This window comes from Homo sapiens, chromosome 17 (assembly GCF_000001405.40).
Source record: "Homo sapiens chromosome 17, GRCh38.p14 Primary Assembly".
NCBI lineage: Eukaryota > Metazoa > Chordata > Mammalia > Primates > Hominidae > Homo > Homo sapiens.
The window spans coordinates 13790320-13806718 of NC_000017.11; the positions used below are offsets into that span (position 1 = coordinate 13790320).

Below are 16399 nucleotides of genomic sequence, written 5' to 3' on the forward strand. Positions count from 1 at the left end.
AAAAGAGAAAAAATATATGCTAAACTTAAAAGATGCCAAAGAGAACATTTAATAAAATTCATCATGCTTTCTCATTAAAAAAATACTTTAATAATATCATTTTATCACAATAAAATATCTTCATCTTCTAAAGCATAGTTACCAAATCCTACAGCAAACATCTTGCTTAATGGTGAAATATCAGAGGAAGTCTTACTACTTAGGAACAAGACAAGGATTTCCATTATCATTGCCACGAGAGATATTAGCCAATGTAATAAGACAAAAAAAAAAAAAAAGAGTTTTAACTATTGCAAAGGATGGCCTCAACTGCTCAACTGTCTAATTTTTACAATTCTCTACCAAGGAAATCTAAGAGAAGTCATTTTAAAAAAAACTATTATAATAAATAAGATAACTCAACAAAATGGCCAAATAGAAAAACAACATACCAAAACCATTTTTTGTATTCAGGAAAATAAAAAATATAGAGAATAGTAATAAAACAAGTATGTACATATCTTTACAATGTGCAAGATGTAGCTCTAAGTGTTTTACACAGGTTAACCAATTTTGTCCTCACAACCACCCTAGGAGTAAAGTATCATTATTGCCACCATGTTCAGAGGGGAGGAACTAAACCACAGCAAAGTAAAGCAACGTGCCTGGGATCATGCAGCAAATAAGTGGCAGAGCCATGGTATGAACTGAGGGAGTCTGGTCACAGGTTTCATGCTACGGAAATGAATGCAGAATGAAGACCTTATTATAAGTTTTCTGAAAAATACAAGAAGAATTTCTGTCAGATTAGCAAAAATGTTTCAAATTATATAAAATCAAGTGATGTGATCATTGAAGGATTCAGAGTCTCCTCTATGCTGTTACTTGAACTATAAACAGATGAAACTTTCCTGAAGGCAATTTATAGTATCTGTCAAAACTGAAAATAAATTAGAAATTTTATACCCTATATATCTTTGTGTATAAGATTACTTATTAAAAAATTGTTGAAAATAGCACAAAATAGACCACAAGAAAAGTCCATCAATAGGGTAGTCTTGAAATAGAGCATTCTATATCTTTGCTATAAAATATTATGGAGCTTTGAAAAGGAATATGAAATGGAAAAATCACCAAGACATATTTTCAGATGAACAAAGCAAACTATAGGACAATATGCATACTAGGGCCCTAACTGTGTTTTTTAAAGATGTAATATATACCCGTATGTGTAACTGTGCACAGCAAAGGGACTGAGAACCATGATCCAACCTGTTAACAGCAATGACTACTGGGAAAATGATTGAGATAGTGACAGAGATAAATGGGGGCTGTCAGGGTTCTTGTTAAACAATTTTATATTGTTTGAATCTCACATAAAAGGGATATATTTATAAATTTAAATGTTTGTTATTAAAAAGAAAAAAAAGTAGAAAATGCAATATTAGTTTCAAAACCAGAGTAAAAAAAATGTTGGCTGGGTGGGGGCAGAGGGGATTCCTTTGACTAAAGAATGCATGCAAGCACAAATGCACATTTTCCTATCTTTTTGTAAAAGGAGTGAGTCTTCTGTATCACGAGTCACTAATGGAAAAAAAAAAAGGATTGAGTGTCTTGGAGATAAGATAGTTTGGGGCTGGGCATGGTGGCTAATACCTATAATGCCAGAACTTTGGGAGGACGAGGCAGGCGGATCACAAGGTCAGGAGATCAAGACCATCCTGGCCAACATGGTGAAACCCTGTCTCTACAAAAAATACAAAAATTAGCTGGGTGTGCCTGTTATTCTAGCTACTCGGGAGGCTGAGGGAGGAGAATCACTTGAACCAGGGAGTCGTAGGTTGCAGTGAGCTGAGATTGTGCCACTGCACTCCAGCCTGGCGACAGAGCAAGACTCTGTCTCAAAAAAAAAAAAAAAAAAGAAAAAAGATAATTTGGAAATGTTCATTTGTTTGACCACTTCTACCAATACTTAATAAAATAAGGGGAACAAATTCTGTCCTACCTTATCCTCACACAGAAGAATGTGAGAGGCCCTGGAAAGAGAATTAACTGGCCCGTCTTATAAGAATGGGGAACAGAGTCCGCTTCATATTAGTCAGCAAAATGAATAAGAATTGTAGACTTGTGAATGAGGAGCCCTCTAGCCTTCCTCTAGAGAAGTGATTCAAATAAAAATTTAAAAAAGAAGAAAGAGAAGTGATTCAATGCTCTGCCTCAGAAGACATTGGAAAGCTGAAAGTAGAAGACTATGTGTTTGTGTTGGCAGGGAGAGACTGGCATTCCAGGAGACTGGTCATTTTAAATATAGCATCACTCATAGCTTGCAGAAAATGCTATCTCTGCTTCCAGGCTTCAGCAACACAGTGCCATGTCAGGTCAGGGGACAAGAGTTAGTATTTAGGAGGAGGCAGTGGTGACAGTGAAAAAAGCAGAAGACAAAGAAATGAGTGCATAGCTTGATCGTTAGTGGTGTGGGCTCTGGGAACATTTGACTGGTGCTTAATCCTGGCTCCAAAACCCAAAAGTTCTGTGACCTTGGGCAAATCGTATAATTTTTACCCAGTTTACTTACTTGTAAAATGGTGATAAAACAATAGTAATTATTTTTGTATAGTTTTTTTGTGAGTAATAGATGAAATAATCTTGTAAAACCGTTAGCAGAATGTCTGGAACATAGTAAATATTCAACATATATTAGGTATTATTAATAATAACACTATGTAGAAAAATAGGAAGAATAAAGAAGACCTACTATTTGATAACAACAGGGTGATTGTAGTTGATAATTACTTAATTGTGCATTAAAAAATAACTAAAAGAGTATAATTTGATTATTTGTAACAAACGGTAAATTCTTAAAAGGATGGATACCCCATTCTCCATGATGTGATTATTACACATTGCATGCCTATATCAAAACATCTCATGTGCCCCCTAAATATATAAACCTACTGTATATCCATAACAACTAAAAATAAAATTTTAAAATAATAATATGACCACTTTGGCTGGGCACGGTCGCTCACGCTTGTAATCCCAGAACTTTGGGAGGCTGAGGCAGGTGGATCACAAGGTCAGGAGATCGAGATCATCCTGGCCAACATGGTGAAACCCTGTCACTACTAAAAATACAAAAATTAGCTGGGTGTGGTGGCACGCAACTGTAGTCCCAGCTACTTGGGGAGGCTGAGGCACCAGAGAATTGCTTGAACCTAGGAGGCAGAGGTTGCAGTGAGCTGAGATGGTGCCACTGTACTCCAGCCTGGCAACAGAGCAAGACTCCGTCTCAAAAAAAAAAAAAAAAAAAAAAAAAGAATATGACCACTTTAAGGACTAGAAATGACACCACTTTTGGAATTTGGTCTCTAACTTTTGGTCATTTTTGCTTATTTGTAGGGCATATTCCAGTGCTCCTGGAGAAGTACATGGGTATTAGGGGTGACCTGGAAGATGCTTGCCAGCTGGGCACAACCTCAAGCTGTGGTGTCCAGTCCAGTAGCCACTAGTGGCAGGGGTTGCTGAGAAACTGATCTGTGGCTGGTCCAATGTGAGATGTGCTGTTGGCATCAAATACGCTCTGGATAGTGAAGGCGTCACATGAAAGAAAAGACTGTAAAACATCTCAACAATTTTCATATTATTTACATGTTTAAATGATAATATGTTAGATACATTGTGCCAAATAGATTACTAAAATTACTTTTGTCTGCCTCATTTTAAATTGTTTAAGTGGCTACCAGAAAGTGTTTAATTATGTTTTCATTGGACAGCACTGGGCTGATGCCCTGTCAAATCCTCTAGGTCTTGTTATAGCCTGTCCTGCTGTACCTATATTTCCTATTAAATGCATCTTCAGCATTTTTGAAACATTTTTGTATACATTTCCTTACGTTTCTGGAAAGGTAGGTGAGAAGACATTATTTTCTGCATTACAAAGATAGAGAAACTGAAAATTAATGTGATTCATCCAAAGACATTCTCCAAGTAACACATACCCATGTGGAAAAAAAATTAATTAGAACAGAAGGCCTCATCATAGAAAGTAGCAGTCTTCCTCTACCTCCCTGTCCCCTTCCTTGGAGGAACTTTATACATGTATGCATACTTTTTTTTGTAGGGCTATTGGTTTTCTCAGTATTACCCACACAGCTCCTGTTGACTCTGAACATTTTATTTCAAGATATTTTATGGTATAACACCTGCCTTCACCAGAACAACTCGTAGTCCATCAAAGTGGTGGCCTCAGTTATCTGAGCATAGTCTCCAGCTTATAACAAGAACTTAGGATTATTTTCAGAATAAAAGTGGAATAATTACTGATAAAGTAACAAATATTCAACAACAGGTTTCTTTTTCTATAGTGAGATCTTTTGTGGGCCCCATAGCTGCCCTAAGGTTTACAGCACAGGGTAATAGAAGTACGAATGTCCCTGTTAGAATCAGGATTTTCCCAACTTTTTGAACCAGGGATTCTTTTTGGGAAAAAAAAAATATGGCCTTTCTAAAGTCCAGCATCAATATATCAAAGGTAAAAAGAGCCAAAGATCATATATAGCACCTATAATATGAACTACAGGAAAGATTAACTTGGGAGTGGACAGGCTTTTTCTGTAAAGAGCTAGATAGTAAGTGTTTTAGGTTTTGTGGGCCAAACAGTACCCATTGCAACTACTCAACTCTACTGTTGTTGCACAAACATGGGCATAGATAATAGATAAATGAATGGGCATGGCTGTGTTCCAATAAAACTTTATTTATCAAAACAGTCAGAGGGCCAGTTTTGTCCAACAACAGCAGTTTGCAAACCCTTGGATGAAAGTTTTCAGTGAAACCATGCCCAAATGACAAAATACCTATAAAATTTGCACAAGAAAAGGAAAGGCGTATTAACATTCAGTGGCGTTCTTCATAAACTCCAGTAACACAGGAATATCATGGAAGAAGGAGTGCAGGATAAATCAAGATTGAGAGAAGATGCCTGGAGTTTTATGACGCAGTGTTGATAGTGTGATGGCAGCGTTGGTGAGGAGCATCATGGTAGGATTGACTTGAGATATTTGGTGGAGAAGGGAGACAAAGGGTAACCAGAGGAGGCTGACAATCCTGATGTAAGTTTTTTTTTGCCCTCCACCATGGAGAAGACGTGTATATGTTTAACAGGAATGATTAAACCATCAGGGAAGCTAGAGACCAAGGTATCGTAAAGAGGTTGAAAGGTTTGCCTGCACAAGGAGAAGTATCATTTTTTATTTTAAGAGAGGAATGAGAGTTGAGTTGTCCCCAGTCCCTCAGTTACAATTTGTTTCCATTTTTAATGCTTTCATGGCACATTGATCTTCACCATCTCCCTCCTATATCACCTTCAGCCTTGCATCTTCATCTGTATGTTGGCCTTTCATTCTTGAGGGAAAGGGACCATGTCAATCATCTTTCCATCTTTGTATTTGGTGACCTCCAAAGAGAAGGTGCTCAATATCATTTCCACTTGAATTACAGATGAGAAACAAGGAAGCATCACATTCTCGACTGTATTACAGTATCAGGCCTATAGGGCTGCTTTATTCCCAGGGCTTATCTTTAAGTTAAATTAAAAGGCATCTTAACTTAAGAGGTCACCTGGCAAGATGCCGGCCTACCAAGTGACCAGATGAGCATGAAATAGAGCAGACAGCAGTTATCCGTTCTGAGCATCTGCAGTCAAAGTATAAATGGAGATGGCCGATTTTCCTGAATAGAGCTGGGTTTGTGTTCAAGATAAATGGCCAGGCAAGGTGAGGTTTGATGATGAATGAATTGGGATTAGCATTGCAAGTGTGATGGAGAAAAGCTTTCTATTCCCAGCACTTAAAATCATTACTCTTGGTGAACATCTGCCATAATTAATCAATTCTCTCCTGTGTTTGCTCAGGGAACACTGTTTGGACCTCAGTTTGAGCACTGATTTGAGTCTACCTTCTTGATCCATAGATGCATAAAGTCTGTCTTTCCACTGGCCTGTGATCCCTTTGAGAACAGGGATTATTTTAATTAATGTTTGTATCACAGTGGTAACTCCAAAATTTCCCTACAGCACCACACACACACACGCACACACACACACACACATCCGTGTGTGTGCTATATAGAAATACATACATTTCCATATAGAATATAGAAATGCGTATATTTCCATATAGAATATAGAAATGCGTATTTTCCATATAGAATATAGAAATGCGTATTTTCCATATAGAATATAGAAATGCGTATTTTCCATATAGAATATAGAAATGCGTATTTTCCATATAGAATATAGAAATGCGTATATTTCCATATAGAATATAGAAATGCGTATATTTCCATATAGAATATAGAAATGCGTATATTTCCATATAGAATATAGAAATGCGTATATTTCCATATAGAATATAGAAATGCGTATATTTCTATATAGAATATAGAAATACATATAACCAGTGCTATATAGAAATACACACACACACTTATATAGAAGTACATATATTTCTACATAGAATATAGAAATACATATATTTCTACATAGAATATAGAAATACATATATTTCTACATAGAATATAGAAATACATATATTTCTACATAGAATATAGAAATACATATATTTCTACATAGAATATAGAAATACATATATTTCTACATAGAATATAGAAATACATATATTTCTACATAGAATATAGAAATACATATATTTCTACATAGAATATAGAAATACATATATTTCTACAGAGAATATAGAAATACATATATTTCTACAGAGAATATAGAAATACATATATTTCTACATAGAATATAGAAATACATATATTTCTACAGAGAATATAGAAATACATATATTTCTACAGAGAATATAGAAATACATATATTTCTACAGAGAATATAGAAATACATATATTTCTACATAGAATATAGAAATACATATATTTCTACAGAGAATATAGAAATACATATATTTCTACATAGAATATAGAAATACATATATTTCTACAGAGAATATAGAAATACATATATTTCTACATAGAATATAGAAATACATATATTTCTACATAGAATATAGAAATACATATATTTCTACATAGAATATAGAAAAACATATATTTCTACATAGAATATAGAAATACATATATTTCTACATAGAATATAGAAATACATATATTTCTACATAGAATATAGAAATACATATATTTCTATATAGAATATAGAAATAAATATAACCAGTGCTATATAGAAATACACACACACGTGTGTGTGTGTATTTCTATATAGCACTGGTTTGGGGAGGGGCAATCTATGGTTTGGGGAGTGGCCAGGTGTTATAAGAAAAGTGTCTGGCCTGTGTTTGCGTTATAGACTCATTTTTACTTAGATTTTATGTTTTTTTTAGGTAGCTTTAGGTGGTAGATGATGGAAGAGTAGTAAATCTCTGGTGAGGCATCAGTGCACCAGAAGAGTCCCTAAAATGCCTTGTACAAAATTGGTCTAATTGAGTATGTTGACATTTTGCTTGAATTTCTTTAAAATGTTAGGGGAATGGAGGAAATGCTCATCCAACCCAACTTTATCTTGTGAAGACTTGTTGTGCTTACAAGACATATTTTAATCAGTTCTGACAACCATTCCCTTCTAAGGATGGTGGATTCTATTTACAAGGGCCTGCCTTTAATGTTGCTGAGGGTGGGTATGTAGTTTAGGATTGAGTGTTTGGGCATGGCTGAGTCACTTTGCACAATAAAAGGAAGAGGCATGATGGTGCATGCTAAGGACTGAATTCATGTTGAAGCTCTAACCCCCAGTGTGACTGCATTTGGAGATGGGGTGACTAAGGAGGTAATTAAGTTTAAATAGATCATAAGGGTGGGGCCCTGATCTGATAGGATTAGCATCCTCTAAGAATACAAACTAGTGACCATTGATGGGCAGAAAGAAAGTGTGCACATATCCCCTAAAAAATATATACGCACACACACACACATACACACACATCTATCCTCTGGTGACGTGATTGAAAATGGATTTTTAAGGGCAGAAATATATAAAGAACATTTAAGTCTATTTCTGGGCTGGGCACAGTGGCTCACGCCTATAATCCAGCACTTTGGGAGGCTGAGGCAGGTGGATCACCTGAGGTCGAGAGTTCAAGACCAGCCTGGCCAACATGGTGAAACCTCGTCTCCACTAAAAATACAAAAATTAGCCAGGTATGGTGACGGGCGGCTGTAGTCCCAGCTACTTGGGAGGCTGAGGCAGGAGAATTGCTTGAAACCGGGAGGCGGAGGTTGCAGTGAGCCAAGATTGCACCACTGCACTCCAGCCTGGGCGACAGAAGACTCCATCTCAAAAAAAAAAAAAAATCTATTTCTGGCAAGATGTGCAATGTAATCCACCTGCTGCACACATAGTGACCAGAAGCACAAAGATTTTTGCTCCTAGTGTGAAACGGCAGAGTTGATGCAGAGAAGTAACAACTCAGCCAGGAACTACATTTCCCAGGCTCCTTGCATCTAGGTGGCTCTGTATGGCTAGTTATTGCAAATAGACTCTGGGTGAAGCAAGGTATGACTTTGCAGAATGAAGATATCAAGTCTCAGATGCTTGATCCTTTAGGTCAGAGGTAGGCAAACATTTTACCAAGGGCTAATAATACATATTTGTAGACTTTCCAGGCCATACAGTCTCTATTGCAAGTAATACTCAACTTTGCCTTTTAGCAAAAAATCATCCATAGAAAATGTATAAACCGGCCGGGCACAGTGGCTCATGCCTGTAATCCCAGCACTTTGGGAGGCCGAGGCGGGTGGATCACCTGAGGTCAGGAGTTTGAGACCAGCCTGGACAACATGGTGAAACCCCATCTCTACTAAAAATACAAAAAATATGAACCGGGCGTGGTGGCAGGCACCTGTATTCCCAGCTACTCAGGAGGCTGAGGCAGGGGAACTGCTTGAACCAGGGAGGTGGAGGTTGCAGTGAGCCGAGATCACGCCACTGCACTCCAGCCTAGGCAACAGAGTGAGACCCTGTCTAAAAAAAGTACAAACAAATAAGCATGGCTGCGTTTCAAAAAAAACTACTTACAGATATTGAAATTTGAATTTCATTTAGTTTTCACATGTCACAAACTATTCTTCCTTTTATTTTTTCAACCACCGAAAAATATGAAAATAACTATTAGCCCAGAAGCTATACAACTGGCAGTGGGCTGAATTTGGTTGCTGGGCGTTAGTTTGCTGACCTTGCTCTAGTTGCTGTCTTTTCTCACACTCTGTCACAGTACCTGACACCGAAGATCTTCTGGAGGACTCTGAGGACCCAGGACACAGTGGGCTGACAAGATGGAAGGAGAATCACCCAGGTAAGCTGCTCAAGAGAACTGCCCAAGAAGGAAGATCTTTGAGTGAGCAAGAAATAAACCTTTATTTTTGTTTAGCCACTGAGATTTGGGAGTTGTTACAGGAGGTCATGTTGCTTATCCTAATAACCCCCCTTTGCCATCTCTTGCCTCAGTGACAGATTCAATTAATTCTATATTGTTCACTAGGCTTTGTGGAGCTTAAGAAGGCCCAGAAGGGAAGGGCAAATACCTGGGCTATAATAATTTGTGTTAATTACTTTCTATATCAAAGTATTCTTGATATAGTTGAGAGTCTTTGGGAATGAGAAGACCATACTAAATCTTGCCTGGACTGCATCCAAAGGCTTTTTCTTCTATTTCAAACTTATCTCCAATGAATATGTACTAACACCTCATTTATCCACACAATTCCCCCATCTCCTTGACTACCTGCTGTATTTCTGGCAGTAGTTATTTGAAATTCATTGCATTTTTTTTCTCTAGTACATCCCTATCTCTTCCTCCATAAGTGAGCAGATTGTATCATTTTCTATGTATCTATGATTTGTTTTCCCAAGTCAGTTCCTCTATTAATTTGTCATCAGTCTCCTCATTTACTTGAAACACCTTTGCATCACTGTGAATGTTTTCCCCCTTTTTCCCTCTCTCCCTTGCAGAGAAGGAGGCTCCCTATCCCCTGGACAAGTGGATTTCATTCTGTCTCCCTCCCCGCACAACCTCAACAGCACCTTTAACCCCTCCACATCTTTGTTGCTGTTGTTGTTGTTGTTTGTTTTGAGACCAGGTCTCATCCTGCACCCAGGCTGGAGTGCAGTGGCACAATCATGGCTCACTATAGACTTAACCTCCCAAGCCCAAGCTATCTTCTCACCTTACCCTCCCGAGTAGCTGAGACCACCGGCATGCGCCACCATGCCTGGGTAATTTTTGTATGGTTTGTAAAGATGAGGTCTCTCTATGTTGCCCAGGCTGGTCTTGAACTCCTGGGCTCAAGCAATCCTCCCACCTCAGTCTCCTAAAGTGTTGAGATGACAGGCGTGAGCCACTGCACCCTGCCTAACCTTTCCACTTCTAATTGATTCTTTCCTTCTGCCTTCAATAATTCTATGATCATTCCTATCTTTAAAGTGGAAAAACTCTACTAACTTATCAAACCTATGACCTTTCAGAGATTAAGATTTTTGACACAATGCTTGGTACACAGCCACCCTTTTTCATGTACTGCTGTTTTATTTTGCTGCCAGTTATCAGTCTTACACCATTGCTGCAGATCTTGAGGTCACAGATGACCTCTTGGCTGGCAAATCAGTGGTTTTTCCTAACTCTTTAAGCCATCAGAACTCTGCAGTCCTTGACGTCTCGAAATACCATGTACCTTAGGTCTGGGGTAGTCCAACTTATTATGTACAACCTCAGAGATCCTGTATGAAGTTGCTCATTAGCCATTGATTCCCTGTATTTACAGGCCAAGAAGAAATGCTGTATTAGACATGAACTTGAGTGTTGATTCAGGCAAGAAAGAAGTCTGTGTGGATTGCTAGGGTCGTCAGTCATCCAGCGTGCATATATGTATTCTTTTTTTTTTTTTTTTTTTTTTTTTTTTTTTGAGACGGAGTCTCGCTCTGTCGCCCAGGCTGGAGTGCAGTGGCGCGATCTCGGCTCACTGCAAGCTCCGCCTCCTGGGTTCACGCCATTCTCCTGCCTCAGCCTCCCGAGTAGCTGGGACTACAGGCGCCCGCCACCACGCCCGGCTAATTTTTTGTATTTTTAGTAGAGACGGGGTTTCACCGTGTTAGCCAGGATGGTCTCGATCTCCTGACCTCGTGATCCACCCGCCTCGGCCTCCCAAAGCATATATGTATTCTTGTGAATTAAAGTGATGTAGACATTTAGCCACCTCTGTCAAGGCCAACTGCTTCAGAAAGTAGAGGATAAAAATGGTTGAGAGCAGCAGAAATTCCAGATATAAGGAAAACAACAAAGTAACTTATCAATATACCGCTATCATAGTACTTACATATTATTTGATTAAATCAAATGAAATAACCAATATTCGACATTTTTGGCCCACAAAAACAGCAATTGGTCATATGGTTCAATTTATTATAGAAAGTACCTGTTTTTTCTCATAGGCTGCATTTAAAGATCTGAAACTTACTCATATTTTATTTCTAGAGCTTAGTATACAGTGGGGTCAATGCATGTTGAACTGAATCAGAATTCAGTTCATAATGTACACCAGAAAATTTGGGTTCAAGTCAGCTCTGCCACAATGGTCCATGCCAACTTAGATAAGTCACCTTCATCGGAGCCATCTTTTCTCATCTGCAAAATAGGGGTTTCTGCACTGTCTTCCTCAAATATTTTTTGTAAGGATCAAATAGCATTGTATATATGGCAGCATTGTGTGATCTCTAAAAAGCTATATATCTTTACATAGTTTATATCTAGGATTCACTCATTATAGAAACTTAAAAACTAACATTGAAATGAGAATAAACTACCATTGTGGCTAGCTATGTTTTCCTATTTCATGGATGAATAACAGGATACTTACAAGGAACGTATCTCAGTTTACTCACACCTGTGATGTAGACCTACTCCTGGAACATGGATCTCCTGCTTACACCCTTTTTCTCTTCGAATTTTCCAGACCATTGACCTATTATAGTTGACCCTTGAACAATGCAGGGAATAAGGTCACCCATCCCCAGCACAGTTGAAAATCCACCTATAACTTTTGACTCTCCCAATACTTAGCCACTTGATAGTCTACTGTTGACTGGACACCTTACTGATAACACAAACAGTTGATTAACACATTTTTCATATGTTATATTATATTATATACTGTATTCTTACAATAAATTAAGCTAGAGTAAAGAAAACATTATTAAGAAAATTGTGTGGAAATTATATTTACTATTCATTAAATGGAAATTTATCAACACGAGTGTCTCATCCTTGTTGTCTTCATGTTGAGTAGGCTGAGAAGGAGGAGGAAGAGAGGGGTTGGTCTTGCTGTTTCAGAGGTGGCAGAGTCAGAAGAGGTGGAGGAGGTGGAAGGGGAGGTAGGAGAATTGCACTTGGTGTAACTTTCATTGAAAAAAGATCTATGTATAAGTGGAAATCCGTGCTGTTCTAGAGTCAACTGTAGTTACACACACCTTTTTCAGGTAGGGCTTTTAAAAAACTGCACTAGTTTTATCTCCAACTGAAAACTTTTAGACCCTAAATAGCTTACAGGTAATACTTTTGGCATTGAAATATTCCATCGTCAGCTCTCTAAGTCTAAGGATTCTTCCATTTACTACTTAGAGCTTTGCTCATGTCTTCCGCCCACCAAAGCACAGATCAGTTCCAGTCTCCAGTTTGCAAAAGATCTCCTGGACCTTTTCTGCTGCCTAGTCAAAAGCTTTTTGACTCAGTTCCAAATAATCCTTTCACCTTCATTTTATTAAAAGTATTTTATCATATTACAACCTTTCAAAAAGACATGAACTGCAACAGGGAAATAAATAGAGCTAATCTATTTTATATCATCAAAGTCCTTAAATGATGAAGATATGAAATATCCATTTTTCTTTCTCTTCCTGTTCATCATTGTGCAGAAAGATTATTGAGGCTAATTGAAGCCTGTTTCATTTTTCTGCTATTGGATGTGGGTTTTAGCTGAAGTGGAATGAAACATATCATATATGAAGGGAGATTACTTTTACAAATTAAACCAATGTATCTTACTGAGTTCTATTTCCAGAAATGTGACCTTATTATACTTGATAATTAAAAATGAGAGCAATAAAGACATGCTAGCCAACATGCCTTCTAAAAATGCCTGCTGGATTTGAATTAAGTTTGGTCTTGGCCAGTAAAATGTCACAAGGTACCCATCCCCTGTGGGGAACTGTGATGAAAAGCTCCTCATTGCAGCAGTTATTCCTGGCCACTCCAGATGAGATGCCAGCCTCCCTGTGTTCTTAGTAAATAAAAGGTTTTGGGGTATTCTTATTGGTGTTATTAAAGAAGGAAGGGGAAGATACTTAATATGGCTGCCTCCAAGATGACAGAAAAGGAGGGAGAGAGAGAGAAAGGAAGGAAGACTTGAAATCTTCATTTATTTTAAAGAGAAAGAATGGGTTGAAAAACAGACAAGAAACCTGAGGCCAAGGATGTGGGTGAGCTGGTGCAGGGAAAAGCTGACTTGGCAGAAGAAGTCAAGTAGAAGAGTGAGAATATCATGGATTATCTCATCCAAGGGAGGGAGACATCATGCTACGAAGTTCTAAGGACAGAAATTGAACATTTTTAGAACACCAGGAAAGAGGCTGGGAAGGGCAGAGTTGAGAGGATAAAGAAAAGGACTAAAGTCTTTAAAAGAGAAAAAGGTTGTTCAAATTTGCCGACTAAGCTGGACAATGCCAAACTCTTAACTCCATCGTTTCTTCTGGAATGGCTTCCCCTCATAGTTAAAATCCTGGGAATTATAATTATACATATAAAAAAGGGGTGCATTCAGGACAGCAGACCTTAGACTGCTAGTGTGCATACCTTAAAGCCAAGGAGGGGCTTAGACAGTGAAATGTAAGAGGAAAGCCCTGTGTTTCCAAGTCAAGTCTCCCATCTGGAGCCCCCGATGATTAAGAGTCTGGAACATGTTATCTCCAGTCTTCATTTATAGTTTCTCCTGGTAGGGGTAGTTAAAATGCCTTTACTCCTCTCTGTCCAGCTGGACTTGATCCCAGCCAAAGTCAATTTCAAATGCTCTAGTGTCTCAGAAAACAATCTGTATTGAGAATCCCACATGCCAGCACCTTTCTTATTTCACTCTGCAGTACAAAATGCATTGGTCAATTTTTTTTTATTTTATTATTTTTATTTTTTTTAGACAGAGTCTCACTCTGTCGCCCAGGCTGGAGTGCAGTGGTGCGATCTCGGCTCACTGCAACCTCCGCCTCCCGGGTTTAAGCAATTCTCCTGCCTCAGCCTCCTGAGTAGCTGGGATTACAGGCGCCCACCACTACACCCAGCTAATTTTTTCTATTTTTAGTAGAGACAGGGTTTCAGCCTGTTAGCCAGGCTGGTCTCGAACTCCTGACCTTGTGATTTGCCTGCCTTGGCCTCCCAAAGTGCTGGGATTACAGGTGTGAGCCACCACGCCTAGCCACATTGGTCATATTTTAAAACATCAAATGTCCAAAGATAGTCTGTGATCTTGCAGATGGATGAGATTTCAGATATCACCTCATTCATATTCAAACCATCCACAAGATGTGCTGCCCTTCATAGTGGACAACTTATAGAGGTAGGATTCATTATTGGTCAATTTGCCTACATTCTTTTTTTTTTTTTTTTTTTTAATGAGACAGAGTCTTGCTCTGTTGCCCAGGCTGGAGTGCAGTGGCATGATCTCGGCTCACTGCAAGTTCCACCTCCCAGGTTCATGTCATTCTCCTTCCTCAGCCTCCTGAGTAGCTGGGACTACAGGCACCTGCCACCACACCCGGCTAATTTTTTTTTTTTTTTTGTATTTTTAGTAGAGACAGGGTTTCACCGTGTTAGCCAGGATGGTCTCGATCTCCTGACCTCATGATCCGCCCGTCTCAGCCTCCCAAAGTGCTGGGATAGATTGCCTACATTCTTATCCTGCTTACAAGCTGTGTCAGCTCAAGCAAGTTTTAAAAATTGTCGTTCATCTGTAAAATATGAATATTAACAGCACCTACAGCAATGTAACATCACTGGCTATTTTCTGTCATGTAGAAAGCAGAGAGATGTAGCCCATAGTGATCATTCTGAATCTTTACAGGCATTTTACCCCTACCAGGATCACCAAGAAGCCTTGTTAAAACACATGTTGCTGACTCCCACCCTCTGTTTCTGGGATAGGGCCTGGAAATCAGCATTTGTAACAAGTTTCCAGGTGTCATTGATGCTGTTGGTCTGGATACCACACTTTGCGAACCACTAGTCTATAACAAGAAAGAAGAATAAAACCAACATATTCAAAAATCAAAGATAGATGCATGATAGAAGAAAAGGTAGGAAGGAAGGAAGGTAGGAAGGAAGGAAGGAAGGAAGGAAGGAAGGAAGGAAGGGAAGAAGGAAAGAAGGGAGGGAGGGAAGGAGGGAGGGAAAGAGAGAAAGATAACATATTCGGTCTTCCCCAGAGACATTCAATTTCTTCTTGAGGCTTAGCTGCTTCTCTTTTGGTTTTGGGAACTACCCCAAGATCATTCCATTCAAGTCCCTTTCTTGAGCTATTATAATTTGGTGTTTTTACAATTCAAAATATCATTAAAGTGTTCTTGATGGGCAATGCAGTCCCCTACTTGAAAAGCCAATTTCTCATACTTCATTTCAAACACCCAGAAAGTATCTATACCCATTCCCTGTATAAACAAGAAGGGTCTAACCTCCAGAGTAAGATGAAGACTTTCAAACAAAGGTAAGAAGACTCTCCCTCCAGGTAGACATCATAGCTGAGCACAGCTCAGTGACAACCGAGAAGATGAATCGCAGACTTGAAAAATCAGTTAAAAGCCCACAGGATTTCCTATGCAGCCAGGATATGAGGTGCTTGTTAGCCCAACCCGCATTTGCAGTGCCACACTGTAGTCTGCTATGGTGGAACAGGCCTGGGCTTTGGGAGCCAGACAGACTTAGATGTGAGCCCCACCTTTGCCATCACCAGCTGTGTGGCCTCAGATAAGTTACTCAGCATTTCCAAGCTTCAGTTACCGCATGTGTTAAATGAATTAATAACAGTGTCCACTTGACAGAAATTACACAGGGTGCTTTCCACAGCTTACCAGTCGGTGGGATTACCAATTGATCAATCCCAAAGATTGATAAGCTGTGGAAAGCACCATTTATAACTCCTGGGCCATTTCTGGGAGGTGAAGATAAATCATATCATCATTGTTAGGACACAGTGGGAAGAGGAGGCCAAAAAGATGAACGTTAATGAGAAATGGTTACGCAGAATACAGAACAGTCACAGGTGTCTGTCAGGCAACATGGCCAGAGGGTTGACTGGGGCTTTTTCCATGACC

The 16399-nt window shown here is 38.8% G+C and overlaps 1 long non-coding RNA gene across 3 annotated transcripts in view; it reads right to left on the reverse strand.

The window, feature by feature from the left end:
- Nucleotides 1-7: 7 nt before the first annotated feature.
- LOC100506974 (uncharacterized) overlaps nucleotides 8-16399 on the reverse strand; it is a 108299-nt gene continuing 91907 nt past the window's right edge. For 2 of the 3 annotated variants that reach the window (XR_001752794.1, XR_001752797.1), the window contains one exon: nucleotides 8-756. This is a non-coding gene — a long non-coding RNA (uncharacterized LOC100506974). The remainder of the gene's footprint in view (nucleotides 757-16399) is intronic. The other variant, XR_001752796.1, reaches the window with a different exon arrangement.